The 15,379-nt window shown below is 36.3% G+C and overlaps 1 protein-coding gene across 5 annotated transcripts in view; it reads left to right on the forward strand.

Annotated features, from left to right (window-relative positions):
• The window catches only part of VPS13B (vacuolar protein sorting 13 homolog B), an 864,307-nt gene that overhangs the window by 107,877 nt on the left and 741,051 nt on the right, over nt 1-15,379 (forward strand). For 3 of the 5 annotated variants that reach the window (NM_152564.5, NM_017890.5, NM_015243.3), the window contains exons 8-11: nt 27-295; nt 13,482-13,577; nt 13,865-13,987; nt 14,446-14,583. In NM_152564.5, the coding sequence (NP_689777.3) occupies nt 27-295; nt 13,482-13,577; nt 13,865-13,987; nt 14,446-14,583 (626 nt within the window). Of the gene's footprint in view, nt 1-26; nt 613-13,481; nt 13,578-13,864; nt 13,988-14,445; nt 14,584-15,379 lie in introns of those variants that run through there. The other 2 variants (NR_047582.2, NM_181661.3) reach the window with 1 other exon arrangement.

Here is a 15,379-nt window from a genome sequence, read left to right on the forward strand (position 1 = left end):
TAAAATGACTTAATTTTAATTGATAGGTTCTGAAGATGAAACAAGAATAGATATGCAATATCCTGCTCAGCATAAAGGTCAAGAGTTATATTCACAGCAAGATGAGGAGCAGCCACAGGGATGGGTGTCATGGGCCTGGTCCTTTGTGCCTGCAATTGTGAGTTATGACGATGGCGAGGAAGACTTTGTTGGGAACGATCCTGCATCAACCATGCATCAACAAAAAGCACAGACTTTGAAGGATCCTATTGTTTCTATAGGATTTTATTGCACAAAGGCAACGGTGACTTTCAAAGTAGGTCTTTTCTCTTGCTGTTTATATCTCTATCAACTTTAATGCTTAAATTTGGATTGTTAGTACAATTCTAGCTTTATTCAAGTTTGCTTTGCATTCAGTAGATGTGAGATAGAGTCTAACAGTTCTTACTTCATAAAATTACATGGCTCCTCCACTTGAAATCTTTGAATTCTGATCCCTTCCTGTCTTCTTAGGGCATTCTCCACATTTCTTTTTTATTAGCTTCATGGATAGTTTTTTGCCCTATTGAATCATTCAGTTGGTGTACAAACATGCCTTAATATTGTCATTAAAAAAGAAAGGAACAGCAAAAATTTTCCCGTGAATTCTTTTACCTGTCAGGTACGGTTTCCTTTCTGTGCTCTCCTTCGTAACAATCATAACAATCTCTCTCTCTCTTTTTTTTTTTTTTTTTTTTTTTGAGACAGGGTCTGACTCTGTTGCCTAGGCTGGAGTGCAGTGGTGCAATCACAGCTCAGTGCAACCTCTGCCTCCCGGGCTCAAGACATCCTCTCACTTCAGCCTCCCGAGCAGCTGGGACTACAGGCACGTGCCACTGTGCCCAGCTAATTTTTTTTTTTTTTTAATATTTTGTAGAGTTGGGGTTTTGCCATGTTGCCCAGGCTGGTCTCGCTCCTAGGCTCAAGCGTTTTTCCCCCTTTGGCCTCCCAATGTGCTAGGATTACAGGTGTTAGCTATCACGCCCAGCCTCATAACAAATTTTTTTTTAAAGGATTGTTTACATATAATTATCTCTTTCCTCATCTCTTTCGCTTTTCAAGACAAAATTGTTAACTAGGTCCTCTTCTAGCTATTTTTCCAGCAGTATTTAACATAACTTGACGACTTCCTCCATTAACATAATGCATGTAAAATACCTGTTCTTATCTATACAAAAATATATATGATATATACAAATATGTGTATGTCTAGGTTAAAGAATAATAAAGTAAATACCCCTTTACTTGAAGAAATATAAAATTATGCCAGGCATGGTGGCTCACATCTGTAATCCCAGTACCCCTGCACTTCAGCCAAAATAAATATAAAATTCCTAGTAGCTTTGATCCCCCATGTGTTCTTCTTTGATCATATTTTACCTTCTCTTCCTCTCACATATAACCCAAACTTAATTTTTGAGTTATTTGTTTCCTGGACTTTTATAATGCTATTACCATACATGTAATATTCCTGAATAATATCTTAATTCATTCAACAAATATTTTCAATGCCAGCTGTGTCTAAGCATTGTTTTGTCTCCAGAGATACCAGAGTGAACAGATATAAATTCCTGCTTTTTCAAGCTTAAATTGATATTATAAACAAATAACATATATATTGTGTTCATTGAATATAAAGGTTAGGTAGAAAAATCAAGTGGGGGCCAGACGTGGTGGCTCACGCCTGTAATCCCAGCATTTTGGGAGGCCGAGGCGGCCAGATCACCTGAGATCTGGAATTCGAGACCAGCCTGACCAATATGGAGAAACCCCATCTCTACTAAAAAAAAAAAAATTACCCAATTAGCTGGGCGTGGTGACGCATGCCTGTAATCCCAGCTACTCGGGAGGCTAAGGCAGGAGAATTGCTTGAACCCGGGAGGTGGAGGTTGTGGTGAGCTGAGATTGTGCCATTGCACTCCAGCCTGGGCAACAAGAGCGAAACTCTGTCTCCAAAAAAAAAAAAAAAAAAAAAAAGAAAGAAAGAAAAATCAAGTGGGAAGAGGAATAGTGAGTGCTTTCACCAGAGGGGATATTATGCAGTTTAAAATGGGATGATCAGGGAAGGCCTTATTATGAAGGGAATATTAAAGCAAAGACCTGTGAAAGAGGAAGCCTTATTGATATTTGAGAATGAACATTCCAGTAATAACAAATGTAAAGGCACCAGAGTTCAAGAAACAGCAAGGAAGCCAGTGGGGCAGTAGTGTCATGAGATATCATGAATGAATGTGGTATGAAAGATAAGAGGGGTGATGAGGTTTGGAGTGGTTCACAAGTTGTAAACTGTGTAGATCATTTTTAGGACTTTGTCTTTTATTCTGAGTGAGATAAACAATATTTGGCCAGTTTTTAGAAGAATTATATGATCTGGGTTATATTTTAATCTGGATCACTGTGGCTGCTGTGTTGAAAGCAAAAGTAAGGAAAAGAAATAGATAGGAATGCAATTTTCAAGCAAGAGATGGTAATGACTTGGACTAGGGTGATAGCAAGTGGAGGTGATGAAAAGTGATTGTGTTTTGGATGTGTTTTGAAGGTCAAATAGGCAGAATTTCCTGATAGATTTTATTATGAGACATGAATGAAAAAAAAAAGATGATCCAAGGATGGCTCTTAAACAACTAGAAGAGTTGAGCTGTGACATTTTGAGATGACTGGGATTGGGAGAAGACTAGATTTGAGATGAAGATGAGGAATTTAGTTTTGGATAGGTTTAAGATGCCTGCTGTATATTTAAGTAGAGTAACTTAGTGGAGAGTTGGATATATGGATCTAGAATTCAGATTAGAAGTTTGCCTAGGTGCATATATTTGATAGTCATGATCATATTAAGACTGAAATTAGTGTAGAATAGAAAAAAGAGGTTCTAGAGCCAAGCTCTGAGGCACTGTGATGATAAGAAATTGGAAAGATGAGGAAGAAATAGCAAGGGAAGCTGAGAATAAGTGATCAATATTGTAGGCAGAAAACCAAGAGACTGGAAGGTAAGTACCATAAAGGTTTTAAAGAGGAGGGAATAGATTATTTGTAAGAATGGATCCTTGGATTTGACAATGTGGAAATTACTGGTGATTTTGAGCAGAGCAGTGATATGACACTGTTAGAATCTTTGCTGGAGTTGATTAAAAGCAAATGGGAAGACTGGTAGAAATGTAAAATAGTGCGTCTGCTGTGGAATATAGTTTGGTGGTTCCACAAAAAATTAAACGTAGAATTACCATATAATCTAGCTATTTTATTTCTAGGTATGTACTCAAAAGAATAAAAAACTGGTATTCAAACAAATTGGTGAACATAAATGTTCACAGTAGCACTATTCAGTGATCTCCCAAAATGGAAACAATCCATATGTTCATCAGTGGATGAATGAATAAACAAATTGTGGTATATACATACAGTGGAATAATATTCAGCCATAAAAAAATGAAATTTTGGCCAGGTGTGGTGGCTCATGCGTATAATCCCAGCACTTTGGGAGGCTGAGGTGGGTGGATCACAAGGTCAGGAGTTTGAGACCAGCCTGGCCAACATGTTGAAACCCTGTCTCTACTAAAAATACAAAAAGCTGGGTGTGGTGGTGGGTACCTGTAATCCCAGCTACTCGGGAGGCTGAGGCAGGAGACTCGCTTGAACCTGGGAGGCGGAGGTTGCAGTGAGCTGAGATCACGCCATTGCACTCCAGCCTGGGCAACAAGAGCAAGACTCCGTCTCAAAAAAAAAAAAAAAAAAAAGGAATGAAGTTCTGATGCATGCTAAACATGAATGAACCTGGAAATCTCTATGCTGAATGAAATAAGCCAGACACAAAAGGACAAATATTTTATGATTCCACTTAGATGATGTTCTCTAGAGGGACAGAACTAATAGGCTATATGTATGTATGAAAGGGAGTTTATTAAGGAGAGTTGACTCACACGATCACAAGGTAAAGTCCCATGATAGGCCGTCTGCAAGTTGAGGAGCAAGTAAGCCAGTGATGGATCAGTCGGAGTCCCAAAACCTCAAAAGCAGGGAAGCTGACGGTGCAGCTTTCAGTGTGGGCCAAAGGCCTGAGAGCCCCTGGCAAACCACAGGTGTAAGTCCCAAAGTCTAAAAGCTGAAGAACTTGGAGTCTGATGTTCAAGGGCAGGAAGCATCCAGCACAGGCGAAAGATGAAGGCCGGAAGACTCAGCAAGTCTAGTCCTTCCACATTCTTCTGCCTGCTTTATCCTAGCTGTGCTAGCAGCTGATTAGATGGTGCCCACCCAGATTGAGGATGGGTCTGCATCTCCCAGTTCACTGACTCAATTGTTAAACTCCTTCGGCAGCACCCTCATAGACACACCCAAGAACAATACTTTGCAGCCTTCAGTCCAATCAAGTTGACAGTCAGTATTAACCATCACAGATGAGGTATTTAGAATATGCAAAATCACAGAAACAGGAGTAGAATAGACATGCTAGAGGCTGTAGGATACAGGGGAGTTGAGTTAGTGCTTAATAGGTTCAGAGTTTCTGCCTAGTATGATGTAAAAGCTCTGCAAAAATATAGTGGGGATAATTATGTAATATTTTGTACTAAATGCCACTGAATTGTATATTGACAAGTGGTTAAAACTATAAATTATATTATGTATATTTTATGCAAAAGGACAGATAAAAATGCAAATGGTAGTTGAGTAATTGTTGAAGAGTACAGAAAACTCTTTCAAGACAGTTTTGTTATAAAGAGCACAGAAATGGGGAAATAGCTGGTTGGGGTTGTGGAGCTAAAGACTTTTTTTTTTTTAAAGATGCAGGTAATTACAGCATGTTTGTTTGGTGATATGAGTGATCTAATAGAGAGGAAAAAATCGATATAGGCAAGAGGGGGAGAATTGGCTGGAGTAATATTCTTGAGTGGATAAGAGGGCTTGGCACCTCTTGTAGAGATGGAAAGTCTGATGATCTCTAATGGGACAATAGGTCATTAATTCATGATAGCAGGAAAGAAAGCAATGTGATCTTGCACCCACATAAGTGGTTTGGTAGAAAAGGTGATAGCGGTTTTTGAAAGTTCTCTTTGGATTATTTTTTTCTTTAAATAGTTCTCTTAACTCAGAGTAAGCATGGGGAAGGAGGAGAAGCTTTGAGGAAAGGGAAGAAGGTATAAAATTGTCATCTTGGGGAGGATGAGGAGTAATGGCCTTTGAATATGTATGTTCACTAGGGACACTAAGGACCTACTACACAAAAGTGATCATGAATTTGAAGATATACCAGTCATTGTGGTTGTATGTATTTTTCTGGTCATATTCTGCTGCTTTAGTTAGGGTGATGGTGAAAATAATCTGGAGGACAAGATCAATGCAGAAGAGGTGGTCAAAAAACTGAGAAATCAGACTTTTGGAATGATCATCTCTCTGGATATTGAAATCACCAAGGATTATGACAGTGGTAGTGTGGGACTGAATCCAAAATTAAATCTTCAGACAACTAGTAGAATGATGTGGGATTGATTTATGAGTCTAAGAAAGAGGGATAATGGGTCTTACAGTCTGTTCCATATATTTTGCTATATTTTGAACAATGCTGATGTAAATGTTCTGGTACAGATCTTCTGACATATATATGTGGAAGAGTTTCTTTGGGATATGCTTCTTTTTCTTTAAAAATGTTATCGCTGGGCACAGTGGCTCATGCCTATAATCCCAGCACTTTAGGAGGCCAAAGCAGGCGGATCACTTGAGCCCAGGAATTCCAGACCAGCCATGCAAATATGGTGAAACTCTGTCTCTACAGAAAAATACAAAAATTAGCTAAGCAGGATGGCGTGTGCCTGTAGTACCAGATACTTAGCAGGTTGAGGTGGGAGGATTGCTTGAGCTGGAGGGGTGGAGGTTGAATTGAGCTGAGATCATGCCACTGCCACTGCAGCCTGGGTGACAGAGCGAGACCTTGTCTCAAAAAAAAGAAAAAAAAAAAAGAAAGAAAAGAAAATTATATCTGGGTTACCAGGGACTTTTTTGTAGTCGTTTTTGGTGCTTCTCCTCTTCTGTATGACCTTTAAATGTTGGCATATAGGGCTTGGTCTTTGACCCTCTCTTCTTTTCTATCTACAAACTCCCAAGGTGATATAACTCCATCATGATATAGATGCTGATAGACTACCAAATTTGTGTCTCCACTTTTCACTTTTCCCTGAGCTCTAGAATTCAACTGCCAATTTTATATTTCCACTTTCATATCTGATTGATACTTAACACATACAAACAGAACTCTTGATTTTTCTTTGCAGTTGTGCACCCCCACCCCCACTATTTTACCTTTCATTAAATTGCAACATTATCTACTAATTTGCTCAGGCTTAACATTTATCAGTATCTTTTCTTCTCCCACCACATCTAATCAGTCAGCATGTTCTGTCAGCTGTACCTCTAGGATGCAGTCATTTCTCATCAGCTTTATTGCAACTTATAGACCAGTAGTTTTCAAACTTTTTGATCTCAAGGCTCCAGGAAACCTTTGCATTCTTAAAAATTATTGAGAACTCTGAGGAGTTTTGTTTATTCAGATTACATCTACTCATATTTATTGTATTAGAAGTTAAAACAAATCTTAAGAATATGTATATATTAATTTATTTTAAAATGAATTTATTATATGTTGATGTGAATATCATTTTATAATAAAAGTAAAATTACTGTATTTTAAAAGGTAAGAAGGGACATGCATTGGTTTTATTTTTGTAAGTATCTTGAATGTCTGGCTTAGTAGAAGATAGCTGAATTTTTGTGTCTGCTTCAGTATTCAGTCTGTTAGGACATGTTTTAATTAATGTATATGAAGAACATCTAGCCTCACATAGATATTTATTTGGAAAGGAAGGGGTATTTTAATAGCCTTTTGAAAAATTATGGATATTCCTTTTGATATTACACTAAAGCTCATTAAGTGGTAATTTTAAAAGGTTTGTTGGGCTGGGCATGATGGCTCACACCTGTAATCCCAGCACTTTGGGAGGCTGAGGTGGGCGGATCATGAGGTCAGGAGTTCGAGACCAGCCTGGCCAACATGGAAACCCCGTCTTTACTAAAAATAGAGAAATTAGCCTGGTGTGGTGGCAGGCGCCTGTAATCCCAGCTACTTGGGAGGCTGAAGCAGGAGAATTGCTTGAACCTGGGAGGTGGAGGTTGCAGTGAGCCAATATCGTGCCATTGCACTCCAGCCTGGGTGACAGAGCAAGATACTGTCCCAAAAAAAAAAAAAAAAAAAAAAAAAAAAAAAAAAAAAAAAATTTGTTGTTTCTTCAGCACTTAGAAATTGCCTGGTATGTTTTCTACAAATATTTATTTTTTGAATAAGTATGTGCATCCATCCATTATCCATACATCTGCCCACCTTTTCATCTGCTTTTCAGTTTACAAAAATTTATGGACTCATTTTTCAGGTTTTGTTTCCTCTCCAATTTCATTTTTTGTGGGTTTATTATTTCATGTCTGCATTTTTGTAAAGGAGATAAACCCATGTGAAATGAGCTAAACTTTTGAAATAGTGGTATAGGTATTATTCCAGGCAACTTGTTACATTGTGGGGTTGCAGCAGTGGAAAAAAAAAAAGTTTCTGTTCCCATGGTTTTAAATTTAGCATAGATTTTCTTTGTATTAGTACTAAAGCTACACAATTTATAACTACAACAGATGGCAAGTTATAAAATACTTTAAGATAGCTGGACTCAGTGGCTCACGCCTGTAATCCCAGCACTTTGGGAGGCTGAGGCGGGCGGATCATGAGGTCAGGAGTTCAAGACCAGCCTGGCCAATATGGTGAAACCCTGTCTTTACTAAAAAAAAAAATTTACAAATAAATATTAAAGACTTTTCTACTTAAGATAATTCAATGTTTTCTAATATGACAAAAGTTGAAAAATATAGAGAATAAATTTCAACTAAAGTTTGTGTCATAGCTTGATTGATTTAATTTTTTAAAGTTTGGGCAAAAATTATAATGCATATATTAGCTGTACTATTTTAACATCATTATTCTCAGTTCTACTGAAAAAAATTATTTTTGTGATTGAAATTCACTGATTTAGCATTGATTAAAGGGATAAGGATTCATCTTCAAAATTAAAATATAATAAAATAAGATATTAAAAAATATAATAAAAAGGCAACTGTTGATAAATATTGTTGGATATGTTGTCAGTTTTTTTAATATCAAAAGTCCTGACATATAGCCTGGGCAACATAGTGAGACCCTGTCTGTACAAAAAATAAATAAATAAATTAGCAGGGCATGGTGGCGCTTGCCTGTAATCCTAGCAATTTAGGAGGCTGAAGTGGGAGTATTGCTTGAGTCCTGGAGTTTGAGCTGCAATGAGCCATGTTTTCACCACTGTACTCTAGCCTGGGTGACCAAGCAAGACTGTGTCTCCTTAAAAAAAAAAAAAAAAAAAAAGTCTGACATTTTGTAAAAAGAAAAAAAAGATATATTGTCAGTTTTAGATTGGAATAAAGCACTTATTTTTGTGGAAGATTGTGAGGGAAGTCAAGGATTACAAGTTAAGTACCGTCCTTTCTGGTGATTTTTTCCTGTTTAGTTTTAAATTTGAAATTATTCTGATATATTTCTGTTAACTTGATTGTTGAGAGGAATTATATTCAACGGAATCAGTCAAAATAGGCATTTATCCAACCTGGGCAACATGGTGAGACCCCATCTTTATAAAAAAAAATAGCCAGGTGTGGTAGTGTGCACCTGTAGTCCTAACTACTCCGGAAGCTGAAGTGGGAGGATTGCTTGAGCCCTGGAGGTTTTAGGCTGCAGTGACCCATGATCGTGCTACTGCACTGCAGCCTGGGTGACAGAGGAAGACCCTGTGTCAAAAACACAAACAAAGGCAAACAACAACAAAACAAAATAGTCATTTGTGTATAAAATTTTTATAGACTTCTTGGGCAGTATTTGTCAATAGTTAATATATCTTTTTATAATTTTAGAACATTTATGTTTCTTAAAGTTTGCTCTTAGGGAAATACCTTGATATTAAGGAGGAAAGCATTAGAATTCATTGCTCAGCTTAGATTTGAAGAATGTTTGGAATTAATTTCTGGTTCATATTTTTGTTAAGAAAACAAGATCATGTTTCTACATTAGCATTTTGAGCAGTTGATATCAGTCCAGCAAAAATCATGCCAAATTAAATCTAGCATTTTTCTAAGAATGTTTAAAATTATTCTTGTAATGTTCGGGTCCTTTTTTTTTTTTTTTTTGAGGCAGAGTCTCACACTGTTGCCCAGGCTGGAGTGCAGTGGCGCAGTCTCGGCTCACTGCAAGCTCTGCCTCCCGGGTTCACGCCATTCTCCTGCCTCAGCCTCCCCAGTAGCTGGGACTACAGGTGCCCGCCACCATGCCCGGCTAATTTTTTGTATTTTTTTTAGTAGAGACAGGGTTTCACCGTGTTAGCCAGGATGGTCTCGATCTCCTGACCTCGTGATCCGCCCACCTCGGCCTCCCAAAGTGCTGGGATTACAGGCGTGAGCCACCGCATGAGTCCTTTTAATCAATTAATTGCTTTTTCTCTATAATAATTGTAGACAGCTGAAGAGGGATCAATTTAAAAAAATTCAAGTTTACTTCAGTAATCATTCTAGATTACAGAATTGTGCTTTAAAATAGCTACATTGTATATATCAGTACTAGAAACATCCAAGAAATAGGAGTCTACATTACATAAAAATATAAAATATAAAAAGCTTTATTATAAAGAATGAGAATAATTAGTTGATACTCAATATAGAGAAGTCACTGTGCTTAAAATTGTAACTTTCTAGTTCAAGAACTTTCATTAGGCCTAAGTTAAATATTGGTTTTTTTAAAAATGTGAGCTTTGACTTTGCATTTAAAAGTGATGAATATATCTATGTCGTAAGAATGAGGGGAAGTAAATAATTGGCAAACACATGCTGAATACCTTTTTTAAAAAAGTAACCTTTTCTTTTTGGAATAATTTTAGAGTTACAGACAGGTTGCAAAGATAGTACAGAGAGTTCCTTTATGTTCTTTACCCAGTTTCCCTTATTGTTATGTTATCACAGTATATTTGTCAAAACTAAGAAGGCTTCATTGATGCATTACTGTTACATTTTGAACATTAATTGAATTTCATGATATGTTTTTTCTGTACCGTGATTCAAACCAGGATACCATGTTGCATTTAGAATAGTACTTTTGTAAAATAATTTATGTAATTTTTGAAACATATAAATAATATGTTATAAGCATCTGGGGAGTTAAGAATTTTTTGTTTTGTTAATATCTAGATTAGTACAGGTGTACCTCAGAGATATTGTGGACTTGGTTCCATACCACCACAATAAAGCGAATATAGCAATAAAGCGAGTCACAGAAATTTTTTGTTTTGCCTAATGCATAAAAAATTATGTTTGCACAATATTGTAGTTTGTTAAGTGTCCAACAGTATGTCTAAAACCACTATATATACCTTAATTAAAAATACTTTATTGTTAAAAAATGCTAACAATCATCTACACTTTCAGCAAGTCATAACTTTTTGCTGGTGGAGGGTCTTGACTCAGTATTGATGATTGCTGTCTGATCAGGGTGGTGGTTGCTAAAGGTTGGAGTGGCAGAGGCAATTTCTCAAAATAAGACAGCAATGAAGTGTGCCACGTTAATTGACTCTTCCTTTCATGGAAGATTTCTCTGTAGCATGGGATGCTGTTTGACTGAATTTTACTCAGAGTAGGACTATTTTTTTTGAGACAGAGCCTCTCTCTGTCACCCAGGCTGGAGTGTAGTGGTATGATTTTGGCTCACTGCAACCTCCGCCTCCCAGGTTCAAGCAATTCTTGCACCTCTGCCTCCTGAGTAGCTGGGACTGCAGGCATGCACCACCACGCTTGGCTAATTTTTGTATTTTTGGTAGAGATGGGGTTTCACCACTTTGGCCAGGCTGGTCTCAAACTCCTGGCCTCAAGTGATCCACCTGACTTGGCCTCCCAAAGTGCTGGCATTACAGGCGTGAGCCACTGTGTCCGGCTTCAGAGTAGAACCTCTGTCGAAATTGAAGTCAGTCCTTTTCAAACACTACTGCTGCTTTATCGACTAAATATACAGAACATTCTAAATTCATCGTCATTTCAACAATGTTCCCAGCATCTTCACCAGGAGTAGATTCCATCTTCAGAAATCACTTTCTTTCTTTATCCATAAGAAGCCAGTCCTCTTCAGGTTCCACTTCTAAATCTAATTCTTTAGTAGTTACTTCCTCCACCTAAGTCTTGAATACCTCAAAGTCATCCAGGAGGGTTAAAATCAACTTCTTTCAAGCTCTTGTTAATGTGGATAGTTTGACCTCTTTCTATGAATCACAAATGTTCTTAATGGAATCTGGAATAGTAAACCCTTTCAGGAAAGTTTTTGATTTACTTTGCCTAGATCCATCAGAGGAATCACTATCTATGGTGGCTATAGCCTTACGAAATGTATTCCTTAAATAATAAGACTTGAACATCAACATTACTCCTAATCCATGGGCTGCAGAATGGATGTCATTTTAGCAGGCATGAAAAACAATATTCATCTCCTTGTATGTCTCCATCAGAGGTGTAGGGTGACCAGATGCATTGTCAGTGAGCAGTAATATTTTAAGAGGAGTCCTTTTTTTTGAGAAGTAGGTTTCCATAGGCTTAAAGTATTTAGTAAACCATGCCATAAACAGATGTACTGTCATTCAGTCATTTTTTTTCCATTCATAGAGCACAAGCAAAGTAGATTTAGCATGATTCTTAAGGGCCCTAGGATTTTCAGAATGGTAAATGAACACTATCTTCAACTTAAAGTTACCAGATATGTTAGCCCCTAACAAGAGCATCCGCCTGTATTTTGAAGCTTTGAAGCCAAGCACTGACTTTTCCTCTCTAGCTCAGATGACATCTTCTTCCAGGAGAAGGCTGTTTGGTCTGTGTTGAAAATCTGTTGATTAGTGTAGCCACTTTCGTTAATTATCTTAGCTAGGTCTTCTGGGTAACTGCGTGCAGCTTCTACGTCAACCCTTGCGCTTTTATGGTATGGAGACGTCTTCGTTCCATAAGGCTCATGAACAGACCTCTGCTACTGTCGGACTTTTCTCCTGCAGCTTTCTTACGTCTATTAGCCTACATAGAATTTAAGGGTTAGGGCTTTACTCTGGATTCAGCCTTGGCTTAAGGGAGTGTTGTGGCTAGTTCGATTGTCTATCCAGACCACTCAAAATTCCTCCATATCAACAGGCTGTTTTACTTCCTTATCACTTGTGTGTACAATTTTAATTTCCTTCAAGACTTTTTCTTTTGCATTAATGACTGGGCCAACTGTTTGGCTCAAGATGCCTATGTTTTGGCCTGTCTTGGCTTTTACATCCCTTCTTCACTAAGCTTAATCATTTCTAGCTTTTGATTTAAAGTGAGAGACAGGGACTCTTCCTTTCACTTAAATACTTAGACCATTGTAATATTACTAATTAGCCTAATTTCAATATTGTTCTGTCTCAGGAAATAGGCCCAAGGAGAAGGGAGAGAGGGGAGTGGCTAGACAGTGGAACAGTCAGAACACACACATGTATCAATTAAGTTCTCAGTCTTAAATGGGCATGTTCATGGTGCCCCAAAATAGTTCCAATAGTACTATCAAAGATAACTGATTACAGATCACCATAACAGATAATAATAATGAAAAATTTTGAACTATTGGGAGAATTACCAAAATGTGACACAGAAACACAAAGTAAGCATGTGCTATTGGGAAAATGGTGCTGATAGACTTGATTCATGTGGGGTTGCTACAGACTTCCAATTTGTAAAAAGTGCAATATCTGCGAAGTGAAATAAAGCAGAGTGCAATACAATGAGGTTCGCCCCTACTTCTTATCTAGCTGGCTTTCAATAAGTATTTGTTGCATGATTGAATGAGTCTATGAGATTTAGTAGGAAACATCTTTTGAAAAGAAATATGCTTGATTCTATTTCCTTCATAGGAACTAGAAAGAGCCTGTTTTATCTTTTTGCATTTCATCACCACTTTCTTTTTTATTTCAAATAGTGAGAAGTCTTGGAAATGACTGAAACTACACGTTGTTGAATGTTTTGTTGAATATAAAATGAACTGAGGTTATACTATATGTAAATTTTTGGCAGAATACATAAATGATTTTGTGAGTATGGGACTGTTATTGCACACAGCTTTCACTTTTTAAAACAATATTAAGAAGGAGTTTAAAAAGTATTTAAATTCTCTATATACGTTGAGACTAGCATATTCAACCTTTATACCATGGATAATCTGTTACAGCTGTTTTTGTTGCACCTGCTTTCCTGCTTAATATTTAAATTTCCTGAATCTTAAAATTGGCCTTGTTTTAATCAATTAATCATCATAATGACAATTTATTGCTCTTTAATACTAAATTTGATTTACTTAATATTCTTATATTTCTTAGCTCACAGAAATGCAAGTTGAGAGTAGTTATTACAGTCCACAGAAAGTAAAATCTAAAGAAGTATTGTGTTGGGAACAAGAAGGAACTACAGTTGAGGTAATCTTTCAATATTGAACCTGTATTTTTAAATATTTTGTTCTTTAATATTTTATAAATACCTGTTTTTATCAGATGTAGTGTATTTAAAAATACAAGTAAGATGTTTGTTTCTTATTTTAATAGAGTTTACTATCTCATGGATAGTATAAATAAATAGTATAGAATAAATTTAAAAATGACATAATTCTAAAGATGTTTAACTAATTTAGAGATTCTACAAGGAAAGCCTCTAACATTTTTATTAAATTCAATTCTTAGTTCTAATGTTTCCTTTCGTCTTATAGGCCCTTATGATGGGAGAACCTTTCTTTGATTGCCAGATTGGGTTTGTTGGTTGCAGAGCCATGTGCCTTAAAGGAATTATGGGTGTTAAAGATTTTGAAGAGAATATGAATAGAAGTGAAACTGTAAGTCCGTTTCCTCCATCCTTTTTTGGATAGGATATAGGAATAATTAAGTGCTTACTGAAGTGTTTAACCATATAATATCTGTTAGACTATATATATCTCAGGCTTGAGAGAGGAGCTTTACTATTTCTCCCTGTGTTTCACCTGCCAGAAATTATAGATCTCAGGGAAGTTTAGAAAGTTGGTAGCGCCTAACACCTGGACAGTAGTTCCAACTACTTTCTTATTCATGAATCTTTCTTCTTTTTTGTTCATGGCAGTTATTTGGAGTTTCCTTTTGGTTTGTAAAAATGATCTTTGGCAAAATAGTCAATGAAGGTGGAGCAGCAGCATTCCTTATCTTTCTGTTTTAGTGATTTCTTTTGACTAGTAAATGGGCATCATAAAATCAAGGTTTTATTTTGTTTAACAGGCTAATGGTTTTTCTTCCCATTTATAAATTTTGCATTTGTTTTCAGGAAGCCTGTTTCTTCATTTGTGGTGACAATTTGAGTACGAAAGGTTTCACATACCTTACAAATTCATTGTTTGATTACCGAAGCCCAGAAAATAATGGTACTCGCGCAGAATTTATCTTGGATTCAACTCATCATAAGGTTAGAGAATATATATTTGAACCAAATTCTAGGCTGTGTTTGGGTGGACACATTGTATGAATACTTGTGATTTCTAGCTTTCTTTTCAAATAATGCCTTCTGAATGCTAATTGTTTATTAAAACATTTAGAATGCATTTATACAGTATACATGTAGAAATGTTTGAGGAGTGCACAGAGATCTTTTATTGAATATGTAAACATATTTTGCTTATTTATGCCCTGCTTCAAAAATAATCGTGGAGGAAACATGTTGAATTACCTCTGTTAATTTTTGTTACTTTTAATGTGTGGGATTGATGTAAAGAAATGAGGAATTTACCTTTTTACTATCTATACTTCTTAGTGTTTTTTAAATGTAAGAATATATTAATATGTTTATGGAATATTAATACATTTATGAAATCAGTTAAAAATTCAGATAATTACCTGAAGATTAATGCAATAGGATAATTTACATTTTACTCTTTTTTTATCAAGATTTACTTCCATTGTTAAAATATTTAATGTTGACTTGCATAATTAACATACATTTAGAATATTTCAGTATATCTTTAGTGTTTGAATTGTTTCATGATATGAAGTATTTAAGGATTAATTCTATTTGAGAGTATACATTATTAGACAGTTTTGTGATAGTGATAAAGGTCAGGAGTGTACTATCTCCTCCATTGTAGGTATTTATTAACTAGACATGATTAATAAAGTGGTCAAAATGTCTCATAAAAGTATGGATGTCTTTTTTGTGTGGTCTGTAATAGATGGAATATTACCTTTCTTAGAAGTAAATTCTTGGA

The sequence above is a fragment of the Homo sapiens genome, chromosome 8 (genome assembly GCF_000001405.40).
Source record: "Homo sapiens chromosome 8, GRCh38.p14 Primary Assembly".
NCBI lineage: Eukaryota > Metazoa > Chordata > Mammalia > Primates > Hominidae > Homo > Homo sapiens.